Source organism: Homo sapiens, chromosome 9 (genome assembly GCF_000001405.40).
Source record: "Homo sapiens chromosome 9, GRCh38.p14 Primary Assembly".
Classification (NCBI taxonomy): Eukaryota; Metazoa; Chordata; class Mammalia; order Primates; family Hominidae; genus Homo; species Homo sapiens.
Window position 1 is genome coordinate 21,499,507 of NC_000009.12, and position 20,911 is coordinate 21,520,417.

Sequence of the window (20,911 nt, forward strand, 5' to 3'; positions counted from 1 at the left end):
TTCTGTAAAAGAGGAATGCTGATGATTAACTTGCAGAGTAATTATAAGGACTAAAGAAGATAACATGTATAAATTGCCTAGTAAAGACATTAGTAATTTAATATTTATTTATTCTCTGACCCTTTGAAGTCCTGCCCCAGCCCCCCAATTCATATTTATTTTATCTCTTGGTACCAAGAAATCCTCCTTTTGTGGGAACTGAACTAAGATTCCATTCCACTGGCCCTCTGATGTCAACTTCTTCAGTTTAGACTTGTCACTTCTTCCTTTCCTGAAGAAATATTTGAAAGATTAAAAGAGACAAACACCAGCGAAGTCATTGTAACCTCACAGGGTTTTTGTCACATTTGGAATTCATTAATCTGAGTTTTGAGAAGAACTCAGTTGACTTCACTCCTTGGTAGAGCAAAGAGAAAAATAAACGAGAAGACGATATAATATTAAAGAACTGGAACCTTTGCCCTTTGCCTTCTTAATCTGGCCTACATTTCTCAAGGCTCTAAGCAATTACCAAATGACGGAGTTGTCTAAAATCAATTCTGCTTACTTTGTGTAACTACCAAAAATCAGATATGAAGACTGGTGCCTGACCTGGTCCAGAGATTAATGAGTTTGCTGAGCAACGAAGTCTAACTACCTGGTTACACATTTTTCTTGGCACAGTCAACAGCCAGGACCAAAAGGATGTGTGAAGGCTACGGTCTAAAATGGTTACAGGAAATACTGAGATTGGTGCAAGTGGTATCAAAAGACCAGATGGGAGGCTATCCAAATGACCTATAGAATGCTATGCCAGAAACCCAAGTTCATCTGAATGCCAGGTAAAAATACGCTTGTGGGCTAACATAAGAATTGCCATCTCAAACAAGGTACTTTCTAAATAAATCAGCTAAAACTAAGACAAGATATTGCTGCTTAAAAAAATCTTAATTAAAAGTGTAATATTAGATCTGTAAAGCTCATTATAAAGACTAAAACTGGTGTGCCTGGGGTACAAAGAGGGAAGAGTGTTAGACAGATGTACTTAGATACAATTTCAATTTTTTCTGGGCTTAATTACACTTAAATATTGGGCCAATTAATCTTCCTGATTAACTTCCTGAGGGCACCCTAGCTTGACCCCATCTCTCGGTGTCAAACTTCACTTTGACTAACCTAGGAAGCTGGGAAACCCAATCTGAGCCACCTTTGGTCACGTATAAATGCAAAATGAAAGAGGTCATTCTAAAGTCGTGAAACTGAGAGACTGCTGCTCAGAGTGGCTTCTCTTGAAATTCAAGAGAAGATGGCTTGGAAGTGGTAACACACACCCAACAACAGGTAGCAATTGGGGCACAGGTGAAGAAGGCTGGAAAGATGTCAGTGTCTTTGATAAGCATCCTGTGTGGTGACAGTTCAACAGTTCTCCTGTTTGGGGCAGGAATAAAGGTTCTTAAAAACATCTTAACACACAGAAACAAATGTCCTCTTTGTCACTGAGTCTGTGCTGTAGATACAGTCAGGTCATATAATGAAACTATTCATTTGCCTTGGGAATATGAACTGAGCTTCTTCCTACTCATCTCATCCATTCTGAAGGTCAGGACAAGATTAAGATCTCCCTGAAATGAATCAACTCCTGGCTAGAGGTGCACCGATAATTTTCAAAATGGTTTAATTACTTCAGTTTCTGAGGCCCTCAGAGTTGTTTTTTTCTTTCTGAACCATCAACATACATATTTATGTACCAAACAGAAAAAAGCATTAAAAAAAACAAATTCTATTATGGAAGGCAGAAAACAGACACTATGAAATAGTTGCCAGACAGCTATTATTTAGGATTGAGTGCCTAGATACCAAGTATTGTGGTACTTCAAGACTTTGAGGTTGCATCACATGGACTTTTAAAAGGGTGTAATTTTGAATCATAACTCCGCATTATTTTGGCTTTCACATCACCATCCCAGACAGTAAAAAAACAGTGATTATTTTCTTAAATATAAGACTGAACACTATAGTGTTTAAGTTTAGATTAGTAAAATTGAACTTTTCCACTTCTAATTAATGTCTATTTCTCATTAACATATCTGGTTATAACTAGAAAGTTACATACTGATGGTGAAAGGAAAATGTACATATGTGCATGGTACAGGATAAGTGTGGTAGGAAGCCAAGGGCATTAAAAGAGAGGCAATAGGTACAGAGCATTTTATAATTTGTTGAGATATAAATACAGACACAAGCACTTTCTTAAAATAAAAAAGCAGTGATACATTTTCTGAAAGTCTAAAAAATTTTACATTAGACTTTACAATAGATTAATTTGTCATTTTGTTTAATTATCAGGAGGTAAATCACTAAGATCATTGGTTCTCAGATTTAATGGAACAAATATTTTGCAAGTTGAAGCTAGGTGCTTTACTGCTAAAATTAAATAAAAGCAGGCATTTTCCAATTCATACACAAGTTAATGGATACAGCTTTCTAAATTATAAGCATTTTTTTCTCATAAATTTGTCTTAAGCCATTAGTGCAGGCAATTGTTTATCTTGTCTTCTCAAGGTGGTATCTGATTTGCCTATAATATACAATTAAGGTTGTCATAGCAATACTTCATCGTGTTCTGTTAAAAGCACCATGACTCCTAGATGTTCTTTCCCTTAAAGAAGTTACAAGACAATAGACTAATACTATTGATCTATTGGCAGATGGGTAATTTCAAGCTGTGAAATAAAGAGAAAGACCAGGCATGCTTCCCCTGGGCCTCAAACAGAAATGAGGACACTGGATGTGGTCCGTGGAAATGTAGGGCATTGCATGCAAGGCAATGTGGATGTCGTTGGCTGTCTTTTCAAAGGATGACGTTCTAGTGAGTGATACACAATTAACTTCGAGACTTTTCGGGAAGTCAGTGCTGTCATTAGTTGTGCCTTATGTGTCTCCAAAAAGAAACTTGATTTTTACCTACTTGCTTTGCCTTTGAAACCTAGATTGTAAGGGTTTGAAATGATCATAAATTCTATTCACTTAATAAAAATTCTGTCAGTCATTTTAACAAATATTTACTGAGTGCCTACCAATGATAGCACTGAAACCTAGATATTCCACATTTGATTCCTTAGAGATTGGTTTTAATGTTTCATTATATCGTTTTTCTTGGCTTTCCTGAGAAGAACAAGAAGTTGCTAGTTTTTAGACTCAACTGTAATTTTGCCATGTCCTAACAGCTGCAGAAAAAAACACACATACCAAAACATATTAACAAAGAATTACAAATATTAGCTAAAGGCAAGAGAAATGCCATGGAAGACTTTGCATTATCAGCATGCTGCTTGATTACTACTTTTAAAAACAGTCCATTAATGTTTAAAAAATTAAAGAAGACTAGGATAAAGGAATGCTAAACTGATTCTGGGTACAGCCATAAAAGGCTGTTTTCAGGAGCACATGAAGACAAGCAAAAGATGAGATTAAATTAGAAATGGGATATTCATGCTATAGGTATAAAATGATTTACTGAGATATTTGGTATTACATAACTTAGGAATGAAATCAAAGTTGAAAAATCTTGGAAATTTCACAGACTATTAGACTGGATGACTTTAATCTAGAGAAATCCTTTTTATTTTCATGGCTTCTCTAACTTCTTCACTCAGCAAATCACTGAACATAAAATCCATTTGTGGTGTGTCAAAAGAACTTGACCTAAAGTTGAGCGCAAAGTGAAGAGACTCAGCCTCACATCTTCTCCAGAGTTCATCTAAAATTATTGGAAGCAATAAAATAAGAGATAGTAAAAGAGAGGGCAAACACGAAATGTTGGGAATTTACATGGGCTCTATTTAGAAAAGGTGAGGAAGAATAAAGAAAAAGAATCTTTAAAATTTAAGACTTTTTCGAATGTTAGCAATCCTAAATCTTGTTAAGTGTGTGGCTTGAAGGACAAGGCACATTATGAAAAAGAGAGAATCAATAATTGGGGTCATAATTTTTTAAATCAATACAACTATTTTAGTGTTTGTGGAAGTTCTGTTAAGATATGAGAGTAGGAAAATAATTCAAATTTTTTAAGTGTACTTAGATATATAAATACTTCTATCCAGTGATGGCATTTGGTGAGTGTAGGCAGAAAAGGCTCACATCCCTTATGAAGAGGAACTACCCCATTCATAATTCCTATGACTGAGCCAGCCACGTTGTGTAGCAGGCTGGAGGTGGTTGGACCAGAGGTGGTATATATGACCAAAGGGCTGCCTATGCGAGAAACCTATAATGAGGACTGGTCCAAAAGGAGAACTGGGCCCATCAGTTTCTCTCTTGGGAACTGTAACTGGGACAGGTAAAGACTGCTACAATTAACGGTGGGAGGTGAAGCTGAAAGGTCATGAAGTAGAGACAGATGATGGTACCCATACAATTCTCTCTAAGACAAGTCTATGGTAAGAGAAAAACGAGTAAAAAAAAGATAAAGTGAAAAAGACTCTCAGAGGGGAGCAGGGAAGCATTGAGCATAGTCATAAAGAAAATGACAGGTGAGGAAAAGAGCATACCCTTAAAGCTGCTTTGGTTCCTGACATCATCTGGTCCCAGGCCTTACAAATTCTTACACTGGACCCCTTCTCCTCAAGGTAGCCAGGGCAAGCATCTGATCCATAAAATAGAGCTAACCAGAATAGCTTATATAATAAAGCACTGCTGGAAAGCCTGAGCAGAGAAATATGTCCTCATTTATTGAAAGCAACTGCAGCATTGTGTGTGTGTGTGTGCGTGTGTGTCTGTGTGTGTGTGTGTTTACACCTTAAAAGCTGACTCCTTGGAAGTACTTTGTATATGAAACAGAACAAATGATAATTGCTATGACAGATATTCAACAAATGTGTTATATGTGCAAGGTTTTGTACTAGATACTGTGAAGATAAAAATATACAGAGAAGACATGCACTCTATCTTCAAACAATACTTAGAGGAGGATCTCTTTTTTCTCCCTCACAACCACGAATAAGCTGAAGAATAAATTCTGCCCTTTAAACACGGCAGGTGCACAATGATGTTTTACAGAAACAAATGCTTTATATGATTGAATCACATACAATGCTTTTGGGACACATAGGAAAAAAACAATTTTATTTAAGAGGATCAGGGAAGATTTCATCAAAGAAATGTAATCTTCACTGGGCATTATGGGATGGGCAGTTCTTCAGTAAAAAGAGAAACATGGAAAAATACACAAAATGGCATGACGATGTAAATGTGTGTTAGATTTTTAGAACAGTCTGCTTTGGTTAGGGCACAGGTACCTGGGAGATGCAAGAGGAAAAATGGTTTGGTGCAAATTTGTGGAGCACATTAATTATAAGGCTAAGGAGTTATGACTTTATTAAGTAAAAAAGCAAGACACTAAGATCATCAAATGTATGTTTTAGGAGGATAACTCTAGCAGACATGGAAAACAGGTTCAGATTGGGAGAAAGGCAGGAAATAGAGGCTGGGAGATGAATTAGAAGATTTTAAGCTGGCTGCTTGTGAGCTGGGTATGAACAAAGGCAATGGCAGCAGTAATGGGAAGCAGTGACTACCTGAGAGACACTGCAGAGATGTAGTCAACAGGATTTGACACATGATTAGATGGGGGGAGGAGGTGTGAGAGTAGGTGAGAAAAAAAATGAAAGGTAACATTCAGGTTCCCAATGTGAATGCTTGGCAAAGCTTTTAACCAAGATAAGACAAGAAGCCATTTAGATTGCAGTAGGATTCTGGTTTTCTAAGGATTGAGTTTGTGGTACAAATGGCACAGCCATTTGGGGGGATTTAAAAAGCAGCTAGAAAATGCAAAACTGCAGTAAAGCAGAGAAGTCTGGACTAAAAATGTTAGGTAGCACATCTTCAGTGTGTGTAAGAGCTGAAAACCAAATGGTAGATACAGATGCCCTAGGAAGAAAGAGAAATCAAGATTTAAAAGATTGGAAAACTATTGAAAATCTGCTTTAAGAGGAAGGGTGAATTCAGTGACTAGTCAGAGAGAAGACTGAGAAGACAGTTGTTAGAAATGTGATGAATAAGAGTAGTGCCATGAACATCAAAAAGGGAGCCTTGAGGGAACTAATGGTCAACAATGCGAGTGACTACTGGGTTCGCTGATGATTCAGTCATGAACACCTCACCTTTGGAAGCAGCAGTTCCAATCTAATTATGAGAACAGAGGATAGATTGTAACGGGTCATGAAGAAACAGATGCAATAAATATTAGCTCTTTTTGCTAGAAGTTAGGGCACAAAGAGAATATGATGGATGGGCCAGTAACAAAGAGGAGTGACAGCATCCAGGGAAGTTTAATTTTTAGATACACGAGAGGGCAGAAGTGAATAAACCTGTGGAGAGAATGTGAATATCCAAGAAAAAAGTTTTGTTTCATGAGACAGTGACATTAAATCCTTCAATGGCCCCTCATCTAACTTATGATATTACTTGTACTTTTCATAAGGCTTAGGAGACCTGTGTTGGGCCCCGTCCGTGTATTGCGCACCCCATTTCCTCTTTTCACCGCTATTCTCAACACTCCAGACATGTCAGTTGTTGATGTGCCAAGATTTCTAGCTTCACAGCTCTCACATATGCTGTCTGGGATACTCTTCCCCTGCCCCGCGACCCCCCCTTTTTTTTTTTTTTTTTTTTTGCCTGAACTTAAATAATATTTCTTCCTTAAAGTGGTTTTCCTTTACCACTTCCTGTCTAAATTAGGTGTCTTTGTTATGTTTCCATACACAAACAAGAAAGTCCTTCGCCATAATAATCAAACTTGCAATGGTTATCTTTTTTCTTAGACTGCAAGTCATAGAAAGGTACGGACTATGTATGGTACATGGGAGGTGCTGAATAAATACTGAATGATGAATAAATAACTGAAAAAATCTAGGTCATGGCACAGGAAGTCAGGAAAAGGCTTTCTGTGCTTCTAATAAAACTGCTAGAACTTTTATATTCAATTCAGGTAATGATGCAGAGAAGAGTTATCTAATTCAAAATAATTATAAGCACCATGTAATAACTTTGAATGTGTTACATTTAGGGAAATATGCATCTATAGACTCTAATATTTCAATTTTAATATATGGGCTTTCTCTTATTATTGGATTTGTGACCTTACCGCCAATTATATTTGCTTCCTTTGTTTTTTTTACCTCTTTTTCATTCTCAAGTACCGATTGTTTTTTCAAGTACACTAGACCTGGATCTCCTTCCCAAGATAACCTCTGTCTCTCCAAGATCCTGCAATAGCTCAACACAATTTTTTATGACAAGTCTCCAAAGTCCAATATTTGAGTTTCTTATACACGTTTTACAAATCAGGAAAGGTTTGCAAGAAGAAAGGCAGGTGAGAAAACACAGGCAGGGATCATTCTGGGTCACACAAATTCCATGAATGCTCTTCTATAAAAACTTTCAATGGCCAAGTAATTAACTTGGAATCAGCAAGTCAAATCACTCATTTTTTTGCAAAGTTCAGCAATTAGATAGAACATATTTCCAAAGAATGCAAACCACGAAGGTGGCTTGCTTCCAAGTAACTACATCATTTTCCTGTAATGCCATCCCAGTTGGTTTCCTCATGCATGCTTGATGATTCTCCTCACTATGCATCTTTTTGGACTTCCAGATTTTGACTCCTAAACTTATCAAATTAACTTTATTGACAGAAAGGGTTTCTGCTTTTGTTGGATACATGTAGATTATGTGCCTGCTCAGACAGTGTAAACTGCCACTCTTTGGTAATCTTATCTTCAAATAAGGACACACACCTGCCCTGATACTTACTCAAATACTTACTCAGATTGACTAATGAACTTATAATGAACTTTCTTATCATTTACCAACTGGGCTTTGCTCTCAAGGACATAAAAACTATGATCTTTACATCTGGGACATATCAGTAATTCTTAACAGTAAAAATATATGACCATGTATGCAGTTCATGGGCAAAGTCCATTAACACTCACTTAAAACTAATATTTTCTTCATCCAAGAGTAATAACTAAACATACTTCTTAAACTGAACCATGCATTCAAGAAACCTTAGGTAACATCTAACGTGTTATCTATAAAGTCTCCCCCAGCTACGCGACAGGAGGATCTTGCTTACCCACATTCCAATTAGATTTCCCAAAGTTTGGCTACTTGAGCAGCACTTTCACAATTTTTGTCATATTCCTTGACTATAAATGCCTTAACATTTTATTTAAATTAATTTTAAAAATATTAAAACAAATTTACTTTTAAAAGGAGATGCTGTGTATTTTTCTAATGTATATTAATATACAAAACATTATATAGAAATAAGAACATCATGTAGGTTTCAGTGAAAACTAAAAGTACTTTGGTTTTAATGCTTTGGTTTTGTTTGTTTTACAAGACAGGGTCTTGCTATGTTACTCAGGCTGGCCTTAATTCCTGGGATGCAGCCATCCTCCCACCTCAGCCTCCCAAGTAGCTGGGATTATAGGTGCATGCCACTGTTCCTCGCTTTAATATGGTTTTGAGACAAGTATTGATTCAGTAGGAAATCCATTCTAGTGGATCCAGCCAGTCTGCCCTACCTTTCTGCTTCTGCATTCCTAGATGAGATACCTGAAAGGGGATGGACTCAACAACACAAATCTCCTATCAGTCTAGCTGCTACAAATACAATGGTAAACGATTAAAATCCTACAAATTAAAACAGTATAGCCAGGCTTAGAATAAAATATTTTAATTTTTTAAAAATTTTAATCATTTCAAAAGCAAACTTTTGTAGGAGTGAAAGGAAAAACGGAGGGTTGAAAAGAATTTATAAGCCATATCTTAGAACTTTTATTTGTACAGCTTCTTACCATTCTCAAAGCAGTTTTATATACCTTACCTGATTTGAGTCTCATAATAAGCCAATAACATAAAAAGCAAGTATATGAGTCATAGAATAATTATCATTTTATTTCTAGGCTTTTAGATAGAGTAAGAGAAGCAGGACCTTTCCTCAAGATAAAACTAAAATACCACGTTTCTTCTGTTTTTGACTGGAATTATTTAGCAAATAAGTGCTTCAGGTTGGATGAGAACAAAGGTTATCTGCCTTCTATCCAGAACTCTGCTTTTTTTCTCACATTTAAGTTAGACAAAAACAACATAAAACAATAAAACACTGAAATAAATTTAAATACAATTACTAAAAAAACCCAACTTTTTTTATAAATTGTCTTCCAATTTGCTTACATAGTTTTCACAGCTGTATTTTGCTTTTCCCTCTTTTCTAATACACCATATAATCTCTTCTACTATTACCCCCAATTTACAAATAAGAAAACAGATTAAACGATCTGCCCCAACTCATGTACATGGTTACAAAATGGCAGAAATGGGACTAGGACCCAGATCTTTGTGCATTTCATTCTGACACTCCTACTACTACACTACACTACCTCATAAAGGAAAAGACATCTCAAATTTTTTAAAATCTGCAAAAATAAGAAATAGCTCAAGATATGATCCTTTAGTTTACAGAAAGACTTATCACAGTAAGAGTCCTAAAAATCTTGAAAATTCCTTCTGCATAATTCGACCTAGTCTGTAGCCGAAAAGAGCTCATATATCATTTACAATTTGACAAAAATCCTAGAGAAAGAATATTTAGAGGTAAAGGATTTGGGTCAGTATCAAGGCAATCAGAAAAGAAAAGAAAACATCTTGAAAATTATAATATGAGCCAATGGAGAAAAAAAGCATTGAAGTTAAAAACTCTGTGGAAGCGTATCACCATCACCCCATACATGGTGCAGTGAGTGCTCCTGTGAATAGTTATAAGGCTGTTTATGTAAGGCTCAGTGTAAGAAGGACAATTACAAAGCCTTTTTCCAGTTTTTCATAAGCACAGATACAGTCGGAAAGCAGGCTGCATTTAAGACCACGACCAAGTTCTATACTGGGAATTGTATAAGACTTAGGACAGTATATATATACACACACACACATATATATATTCTAGAGAATATGTATACATATATATATACATATTCTTGAGATGGAGTCTCGCTCTGTCACCCACGCTAGAGTACAGTGGCGTGATCTCAGCTCACCGCAACCTCCACCTCACTGGCTCAAGCAATTCTCCTGCCTCAGCCTCCCAAGTAGCTGGGATTACAGGCGCGTGCCATTGCACCTGGCTAATTTTTCTATTTTTAGTAGAGACGGGGTTTCACTGTGTTGGCCTGGCTGGTCTCGAACTCCTGACCTCAGGTGATCCACCTGCCTCAGCCTCCCAAAGTGCTGGGATTACAGGCGTGAGCCACCACACCCGGCCTCAAAGCACAGTTGTCAAGCTGGATCAGAATCAATAGGAGGATGCTTATTAAAAATGAAGATTTGAAGTCTCAGTCAAGATGCATTAAATAGAATGTCTAGGGAATGGTTTGGGAATCTGCATTTTTAAACAAGCTCTCTAGGTGATAATACAACAATGAAGTTTAAAAACCACTGACTTCAAGAAGTTATTGGACACTTCAGAATATTAATTATTATTTTAGTCTCTTACACTGATGTTCCTAAATCTGAAGTTTTAGGGGTTTGGGTTTCTCCCCACAAACATTGTTCACTTCGAATCAAAAAAGAAGCTTCAGGTGTTTAGTAATTAGAGTAAAACACGTTTCAGCTATGGAGGATGGCGCTTGGCAAGCAATGTTCATTTCCACACATGGAACCCAGCTCATCAACTACATTGAGGTCAAGGGGGCACTGGATATGTCTGTAACTGATGTAGATGAGGGTACATGGAACTCTGCAAAAGGCAAAAGAAGCCCAAATAAACTGATGAAACAAGTTTTTAAAACTAAGTTATAGGTAAAATAAATAAACCAGTTCTTGTAATAAACTGTATGTCCTGGCCAATTGACCCTGCAACAAATTACCATTAATATAACGAATGGATAAGGCACTGTGAATCTAATTTTCAGCTAAAGCTGTTTTGTGAGTTCTTAAAAGCCTTCATAGGCAAGATCAGCTTGTACAATGATGTCTTTAAACAAATTATCCTTATATAAAGAGATGCTTATAAAAGTTGTAGACTAAAACTACCTCACTTTTGTGCTACACATTTTTGTTAAATTAGCAGCTTAGTTTAATATACTCCAAGAGGCATGAAATGAAGGTATAATGTGATCTTTCTGTATGTTTTAATACCCTGAGTAATAATAAATAATGACAATCGAGAATAGTGACTGCTACTTTATTTCTTGGAAAAGCATTAAAATTAACATGAAATTTTATTTATTAAAAGCAAAGCTTTTTATTAAAACTTCAATGCTTAAAAACATGAAACATCAAACAGTATTTATTAAACATTAGTATTTATTAAACATTAAAATACAATTGTATTTACTGAACATTCTTACTCTTTAAAGTGAATGTGTAAAAACCACTTTTAAAAGAGATCTACAGATAATGAGTAACTCCAGAAACAAAGGAAGATGAGGAATGTGAACTAACCAGGAGAAGAACTTGAGATCCTTGACAATTAACTCCTTGGTCTCTCAAGATTTCTATCTTTACAAAGAATTCTACATGTACTATCGTTCTGGCATAGAATTTCCACACATTTCACATAAAATCCCTTGTCTCTAACTAAAGAAAACTTTTTTCTTAGTAGTGAAATAAATGTGTTGAGTGTCTACTGGTATGCATATATCAAGAATTTTAGAGACACTAAATTTTTAGACATGTGATAAGAATCATCTGACTAAAATACCTTATTTCCTTATCTTGAGGGTCCTATGGAGTCACTATTATTACTCTAATTTTACATTTGTGTAAACTGTGGCTCAGAGGTTAAATGACTTAAGAACGCACCAGTAATGAGATTTGACCATAAGTTTTACTTTGAAGCTCATGCTTTTCCCAATAAAATATGCTGACTTCCACAAGTCTATGGATCCAATGACACATTTACTGTGACTGCTTTAAAGAGTTAGGTTTGCAGGCCCAGAACTCAACATTATCTGTTTATTTCTTTATTATTAGTTTTGTGCCAGGGATTTCACCAAAGACATTTATAATGCAAAAACTATAATTATTTGATATCTCTTTTGCATCAGGGTAGAGTTTCAAAAATATGTATTGAGAACCTACTATGTGTCACACTCTAAGGATACAGTGGTTATCCCTAACAAGGTCCCTAACCCTCAAGAAGCTTACATGGTAGTGCGGGAGAAAAGACACTAAGCAAGTAAACAAATACGTTTCAGGGAGCACCAATGTTTCTGAAAAAGCAGAGTAATGGGATAAAGGGTGACTGAAGTGCTGGAGTATTTTAGATAGCATGGTCACAGAAGGCTTCTCTGAGGAGATGATATCCTCGCTGAGGCCCAAATGATGAGAGAAAGGTAGGCAAGCTAAGAGGCAAGAACATCCTAGGTGTGTCCAAGGAATAGCCATACAGGCCAATGTGGCTAGCATGGAGTGAATTCATGGTAGGACACAATACATAGCAGGACAGGAAGTAAGGAAGGTGAGAAAGGCCATGTCATGGAAATCCACATCCAAGGAAGGGCGCACATACACAGCAATACACGAAGGACTGGCATGCAGGTGGCCATGGCTGCTGTCAGACAGGAAAGATGGCAATATGTTGGCATAGCAGGTTCCCAGTTCAACAGCTATGCCAGCATCTTGCCTCCTCTCCAGTTCCAAGTTACAGGAGAATACTATGACTCTTCAGTGTTTTACTTTTCCAAAATTTTTCCTTTCACCTGAGGGAGGGAAAACACACTCATTAATTGAAAGCGCACTTATTTCTGATCATAACAACATAGTCTTCCTTAGAGTGTCCGCTTTTGAAGATGTAGTTAGGCACAGGAGGTTTGTGGGTAGTTCCATTTTTTTAATGGTCTTTGATCTAAAATGAACCTCGAGAATGTTTATGGACTACTTGTGAAACCACAGGGATGAAATTGTGACAAAAATTTTATTAAATCAATAATGTCTAAAGTTGATGACAGTTAATTATAGGCTATTACCACCATATTTATAGTCCACAAAATATCCCAGTGACTCTCAGTACAATTTTATTTTTACTCTAATAACTTTACTTGGTCAATTTCTGCCACTCAGATGTATTTAAACAATAACAAACTGTGGCTCAGCAGTGTGTAGTTAGTTCACTGCTTTATGTGCTCTTAAAAATAATGTTATTTTTGGATTTTTTTAAAGACATTCTTGCTCTGTCATCCAGGATACAGTGCAGTGGTGCGACCATAGCTCACTGCAGCCTCAATCTCCCAGGCTCAGGTGAATCCTCCCACCCTAGCCTCTCAAGCAACTGGGACTACAGGTGTGTGCCATCACTCTTTTTTTTTTTTTTTGTATTTTTAGTAGAGACAAGGTCTCGCTATGTTGCCCAGGCTGGTCTCAAACCCTTAAACTCAAGCCATACTCCTGCCTCCACTTCCCAAAGTGTTTGGATTACAGGCATGAGCCACCATGCCCTGCCAAAAATAATGCTCTTTTGAGCCAAAAATTCCCAGCTAGAAACTTATTTCACAAGTACATTTGCAAAAGTACCACTAAGTTCTAGGTCCAAGGATGTTCACTGCAACACTGTTTTTAATAGTAAAAGATTGGAGACAACTTGAACACTCATCAGTATGATTGATACAGGCTAAATAAATAATATAGTTATACAACAGAATATTTGGTGGTCCTTACAAAACAGTAAGGCATAAGAATAATGACATTATGTATAACTTTTGTGCAAGTGAAAATGTATACACAGACACATACCTGGAGGGCATACATACATGTTTTTTATTAAAGGATAAATGAGCAATTTATTATTTTAAATAAAAAAATTGGATAGGATTATAAATTATGTTTGCTTTCCTCTTTAATATGTCTCTATTAAAAAACTAGTAAGTAATACGTATTATTTACCCAAAATGGAGTGTAAGGTAACCTATAAAGGTAAAACATTTTGTTATATAGTGCTACCAAGGTATAGATAAGGAAGAAGCATACTCTTTTAAATATGATTCTAGTATCAATTGCCTTTGCCAGAAACAAAAGTCCAGCATTACCTAAGCCTGGTACTAGATATACACATATGCAGTCACCCACGCATATACAGTATGTGGTGTCTGTTCTTGTGAGGGTAGGAACTTATGAGTGTTCTATTGCACAAAAGCCTGTAACATCTTGTCCTGAGGCTAGGTAACTTGTGGAAGAGGTACTAATTGACTTCCTAGGATACAATTCAACTTAATTGCATGATCTATTAATGTAAGGGTATTTAGGAATTTGGGGATCATTAAGTACAGAGCATTGAATCAAAATTAATGGCAAATGCAAAACAGGTTAGGTAACAAAATTCTGAATTGAGAAGATTTAACTGAATAAAGCTTCTCCAATAAACTCATTATTTTAAAAAATATTACTAATATCTGATATTCATAATTAAGAGGCAGGTACAAGCTGCATCATTTTAGAAGGTATATGGTACATATTTGAAAACAGTAATTTCTTGTGACTTTTTTCAGTTCCATTTTGCACATAAAAATTTCAGATTCAAGGCCAGGCATGGTCTTGAGTACATCTCAGAACTTTTGAAGGCCAAGGTGGAAGGATCACTTGAGGCCAGGAGATCAAGATCAGCCAGAGAAATATAGCAAGATTCCATCTCTACTAAAAATAAAAATAAATTAGCCAGCTGTGGTGGCATGCACCTGTAGTCCTAGCTACTTGGGAGAATGAGACATGAGGATTGCTTGAGCACAGGAGTTTGAGGCTGTAGTACTGTACTCCAGCATGGATGACAGAGCGAGGTTTTTCTCAAAAAAAAATTCAGATTCATTTTGTAAAGAAAATTGAATAACAGCAACTATCTGATTTACCAGTCAGATGTAGCAGATACCTGAATATTTAAAAGGAGGAAGAAAACTTACTTTTTAGGTTATCAAATAATTTCTCAATGTGTAATTGAAAAGTCTAGAAAAAAACTGTACTCTTTTGAAGAAGCTGTTGCTGTTGAAACTGAGGTGCTTTCTTTAATTTCTCTAATATATCCTGAGAATCATGGCTTTCACCAGGTTACTGGTAAAACCCACACCCTCACCACATATACCTTAAACAAATTTCTTGCAAAACTCTAACCTAACCAGGAATTGTTACAATGGGAAAACAAATCAGGTATATATATATATACCTGATTATAGGCCTTAGCAGTTAAGGTTAAACCTTGAAAAATGCTGACAAAAAAATGCCCTGGAGAGAATGCAGGGCCCATTTATAATTTTTTTCCTAAAAGAAAAAATTTTCTTTTACATTTCAAACTTTTAGTATTGTAACTAACAAAATAAAGTTCAAAGTCTAGGATTCTTCAAATTATTCTAACTTTAAATTCATTTAAAATTAATAAGGTGACTTTACTTCTAAATAACTGATATAAAAGTATTCTGGCAGCAAATCTAGCATGTTCCAGACATATGAAGGGCAAGGGGGAATTAGCTATACCAACCCCAATTAATACACAGACATAAAGAATAAGAACTCAATCACAGTAACTGAAAAAAATGGAGTAACTAACACTCACTGTGGCTTTTCAGAGCTGAAATACAATCTACTTAACGCCTCATTTTTAAAAAAGTGTTTTCTAAAAAGGGGTTGGGGTAGGGGTTGATTATGTATAAAAAGTTAGAATGTCCTATTTTTCATGTACAGTATTATGAAAAACTTTGTGGTCCAATCAAGAATATAACTGTAGGAAAAAATAACATTCACTGAATGTGTTGGTATTGCCTTTGGGAATAGACAATTTAATAGGATGTGCTCAAAGCTACTCCCTAAATTGATAGAAGCCATATGTGTCTCTGCCCTACATCTGTGGGGAGTGGTTTGCAGGAAGAAAGGAGTACAATTATATATACATATATTCAAAATAAATAAATACATATATATATATTCAAATGAATGAATAAATATAATCTCTTATAAATTGGCAAAGACAACATTATGGCCCCTGGAAGGACTCAAAACCTATGGAGGGTTCCATGTATTAATGCCATTCATTGTACACTTGATCACTATCCATATCGCACAAAAAAGTACCAATGAGGGAAAAAACAATTACAATAGAAAATATTTTATTTATTTGTGCTTAAACAGTCATCTATAGTATTATTGAGGAGAAATACTGAAATAATTACAGATACTTTTAGAGTAAAAAAAGGCAGCTTATAGGAATGGCTAAGAAAAGAATTTATAAAATCAAAGATTTTTGAAGTGTCTTTACATTAGCAAGCCTGTATATGTATACATGTGTGTGTATACACATATATAGCATACGTAATTTTAATTTTTATATAATCTTTTTTATGGAAGAACACCACCAAAGACAGAATATAACTCTTTTAAATTTAGGAATACTAATAAAATACAACTGAATATCTCTATCAGGTATCAGAAACGATCCCCAGGGCAACTACAAAGTATAGAAAAACTGACAAAAAGGAGTTAGGTTTTTATTCTCTGCCCCACCAGCCCTGTCTTGCCTGCTGGAAGACCTCACACTCTCTTCCCTCTGCCTATCCAACTTCCCACACCCCCCAATATACAGACACACCACAGTACCTACACCAGGCTTGTCCTCCCACAAAATGCCCTATTTCCCAAAATTCCACTCCACTACCCTTCTAAATTCCCATTTCCTCTTCACATATGTTGTCTATAGGAATGAGGAAGAGGAAATCTACCCCTACATTATAAGGATTCAAGACAAACTGCAAATTGTTAATAAGCTTAAGCATCCAAAAGGATCCCAATTTTTAGGAGACAAGTATTATACTAAACTAGCAATTAGTAGAAAATATGGAAGATATTTTGAATTCAGAGCTCTCTATTCTATAACCCCTTGCTTAAAATGGGCCAAAATTAAAGCATTTCCTATTTTCCAAAATTCATAAAAACCCACTGAAAAGGGAAGGTGGGGGATGAGGGGAGAAGTAACTATCTTTTTTGAGTAAGCAGTATATACTTTTACATTTTTCCCATACTTAATCCTCAGAAAACTGGCAGTGGTAGATATTATTATCGCCTATTTATAATTGACTAAGCTGAGGCTGAAAAAGTTTATCTAGAGTAAACATCTCAAAGTCATCAACCTACTAATAATTCCATTAATTTAACATTTGTTGGTCTTCTATTATATGCCAGGCATCGTGCTGAAGACAGGGCCTTTACCTATAATGGGTTTCCAAGTGGGAGGTGACAGTATATATTTTCACATAATTTGGTAAATCCTATCATCAAATTATACACTAGCTATAATAAGAACAAATACAGCATCATGATGGATTACAATGATGGCTGAATTCTCCCTGAATCCAAATCGTGGCCATGTGACTTTGCAGTACATATTCTGACTCTGGAGTTAGCTGTATAATTTGTCTTGGTCAGCTTGTGATGTGAGCAAGACATGATGCAAACAGAGCTTAAAAAGCACTGGTGAGACTAGGCCTGCCTGCTCTCTTGATCCTTTGTCATCATGAGCGTATACCCAGACTACTCTACTAAAGAATAAGGCGCAAAGAACATGGCCAAGTCTCCCTAGTTATCCCCCCAGCCAAGGCCCATCTAGATCAGCCAAAAGCAAGCCAACCCCAACATGTGAGCAAAGCCAACCAAAATTAATAGAGCTGCTTAGGTGACCCACCCCAGATGTGTAAGCAGTAAACACTGCTGAACTTATTTGAGGATTTTTAGTTGTTTGCTATGCAGTATTATTGTAGAAAATAACTGATATAAGTATAATGATTAAAACCACATGCTTTGGATTTAGGCTAACCAGGTCAAAATTGTCATTAGAACAGCAAATAGGCCATGTGAATTCAAGTCACCCATTTCATCACATGCACAACAACAAAGTCACCAACTCCTTATTCTGCACTGTGCTGGTAAATGATAGGATTTCAATGAACATTTATGGATAAATGAGTAAACATTGATTAACTGTTTTGCTAGACTATAGGTTCCTTAAGAGTAGGAGGAAAGCCTTACTTATCTCTGTGCACCCAGCATACACTGTGATGAAAGAGACTTATAGAGAGATCAGTCAGTACTGGTTACATGAGAAAGTACTATGAATTTGGATTACCTTATTAAGATGGATGGGAAACCACTAAAGGGCTGTAAGGAAGCCAAACAACAAGATTTGTGTTTGACAAGATTACTTTGGCTGCTCTATAGGGGTAAACGGACAGGAGGGGCCAGAACGGATGCACAGAAACCATCTAGGAGCCACCAAGGCTGTCTGTGCAGAGATGGTGTAACCTTGGATTAGAAAAAGAAAGCACACAGATTCAAGATATATTTGGAAAGCAGAAGAGAAAAATTTGCTTGAGGCTTGAGGGCCTAAGAAAATGGAAGAACCAAGAAAAAAAACAGTTTTCTGCTCTATGCTCCTACATGAGCAGTGGTGACTTTCACTGATAGGGAGCTCAAAAACACAACAGATACTTTAAAAATGCAGACTCAGAGAGACTCTGAGTTAATCCTAGTCTAAGGCCACCACTGGGAACATCTATTCAAAGAATCTGTGACATCAATTTATGTGAAGAATGATATTCCTTGAACACTAAATCATTCCCTGTTGCACTAGAAAACTTCATTTGCCTTATGTAGCTGAAGTGACCTGAAGGAAGGCTCTGCTGAACCTTTGCTAGATGGCAAAATACAGCCCCACTGTGGAAACTTCTTGAACTATATTGAACCTTCTAAGGAAACTAAGCCTAAGAAGGAAAGAGTATACATGCCTAATTTAAAATCAGCTTTAGAGACTGAGGATGAGTTCTTTCCTGCTTCACGAATTTTCCATGAATCTAAAAATTGAACTAGACTTTAGAACATGTACCTTATCACATTAGTTAATTCAAATGTTTATTCTCTACTAGAGCCATTTCTGTCTTTAAGTATGAGCCATTCTACTTTCTCTGGATTTCATGGCCATGGACTGCCACCCAAATCCTAGTCAGTCACCTAAAAAATGTGTGCTATTGACATTAAAGGAACGAGGGTGGTGAAAGTAGGGAGAGATCCATGCAAACCCATCAACACTTCTGGAAAGAAACCAAAGCATTCTGAAAGTGGGTGAACAACGTTTTCATGTGTGGAAATGTAGAGAATTTGGGACCATTATGAGTGACACGAGGAGCTCAGTGACTTACCAGTATTTATATGGTGCTTCCTAAGGCCCAGGCAAGCACTTTTTCATCAAAAAAAGACATTTCAAAAGGACTTTTTCATTACTGTATAGCCACCACCCATAAAGATTTAGTACAGTGCTGCTTTAGTTTGAAAAATGGTGCCCCTCCAAAATTTATGTTAAGACAATCCCCAACGCAACAGGATTAAGAGGCGTGGCCTCTGAAAAGTGATTAGGTCATGAGGATTCCACCCTCGTGGATGAGATTCGAATCCTTATAAAAGGGCTGGAGGTTGAAGGGAGCACTCTCTTGCCCTTCCACCTTCTGGCCATGTGACTACACAGTGTCCATCCTCTCAGAGAGAGGCAGCAAAAAGGCACCATCTTTGAAGTGAAGACCTGGCTCTCAGCAAACACAAAACCTGCCAGTGCCTTGATCTCCCTGCCTCCAGTACTGTGAAAAATAAATTTCTCTTATTTATAAATTACCTAGCCTGTGGTATTTTGTTATAGCAGCACAAATGGACTATGACATGTGCATATCTTTAAAAAATAAAATATTTGTAATGGTTGATTTACACATTAAATTCATATTCTATATCCTCCAAAGTCTGAACCAAAGGTAAGATGTATTTAGAATACATTGTCAAGAGCTGTACATCTATTCTTTTATTAAATCCTAACTCCAAACTGAAAAGCTGTTGAAGAATTTTTTTCCATTTTATACTATATAGCTGAGAAAACTAAACCTCAGAAAGGTTAAGTCATTAGTTCACAATCACAGTGCTAGTTAATGTTAGAATCTGAATTCAGCATGTCTTCCCTCAGAGTCTGCATTCTATCTGTGCCCCCAAACTAACTTCCAACATTACCACCCTTATTTTCTACGGACCAATGGGGCTTTTCTTTGGGGCTGGAATCATCTCCTCACTACCCCCTGGCATACTATTCCCACTTTGTTCCTGCCATTTCTTCTGCCCCTGAAATATTCCTCAAATGGTCATTCTGCTTCATCATTCCAAAAGGAAGCATTCTGAGCTCAAAACAAAACAAAACTAAACAATGATTCACCATGTTGATTCACAACAAAACTATAAATGACTCCGTTTTCTGGTTTGTCAATAAGCTTCAGAATACTGTCGAAACACATAAAATACAAAACATTTATATTATCAGGCTAATGGTTGCCTGTGACCCAACTAAGACCAAAGTCAGACATAATGCACACATTTCAGAGGAATTTCCCAACTAATCCAAAAGTCAAGGGCTTCCAGATATTTCCATCACCCACAAGTGGCATTCCCTTAGAATGCTAAGTCTTGAGCCCTTTCCAAGTGTTGTTCCCTAACTCTGTAACACTCCCTGAACATGCCGCTTGGTCTACCTGGCAAACCAGAATTAATCCTTTAAGACAATGGTTAGGTAGTGCCCCCTTCTTTGCTTGTGTCTCTCCACTTCCACCACACACCTTGATGTAGAGTCCCTATTCTCACTGTACACATACCTCTCCCACTAGCTTTTGAGCTCTTTGTGGGCATGGACATGTCTTCTTAAACTTTTTATCCCAAGGCCCACCAAAGAATCTGCACATACATTAAGCCCAATAAATGCTGAATGGGCACGCTCATGACCTACAGATATTGACACTGTGATTGAAAAACTTCTGGATTCAGGAATGGGGTGTGTTTATTTTTATAATATCCAGCCAAATATCAAAGGTCTAGA

The 20,911-nt window shown here is 36.6% G+C and overlaps 1 long non-coding RNA gene and 1 other non-coding gene across 5 annotated transcripts in view, besides 1 other annotated feature; both read right to left on the reverse strand.

Annotated features, from left to right (window-relative positions):
- MIR31HG (MIR31 host gene) overlaps window positions 1-20,911 on the reverse strand; it is a 105,531-nt gene that overhangs the window by 45,239 nt on the left and 39,381 nt on the right. The gene's annotated exons all lie outside the window — the stretch shown is intronic.
- Window positions 5,336-5,871: an enhancer, noted in NCBI's record as "NANOG hESC enhancer chr9:21504841-21505376 (GRCh37/hg19 assembly coordinates)". NCBI's record gives its function as "activates a minimal SCP1, AML or CMV promoter by ChIP-STARR-seq in naive H9 embryonic stem cells {active_cell/tissue: H9 hESC(naive)}" and the evidence as "EXISTENCE:reporter gene assay evidence [ECO:0000049][PMID:30033119]".
- MIR31 (microRNA 31) lies at window positions 12,609-12,679 on the reverse strand. Its single transcript, NR_029505.1, has one exon. It is a non-coding gene; the product is annotated as a microRNA 31 (primary transcript).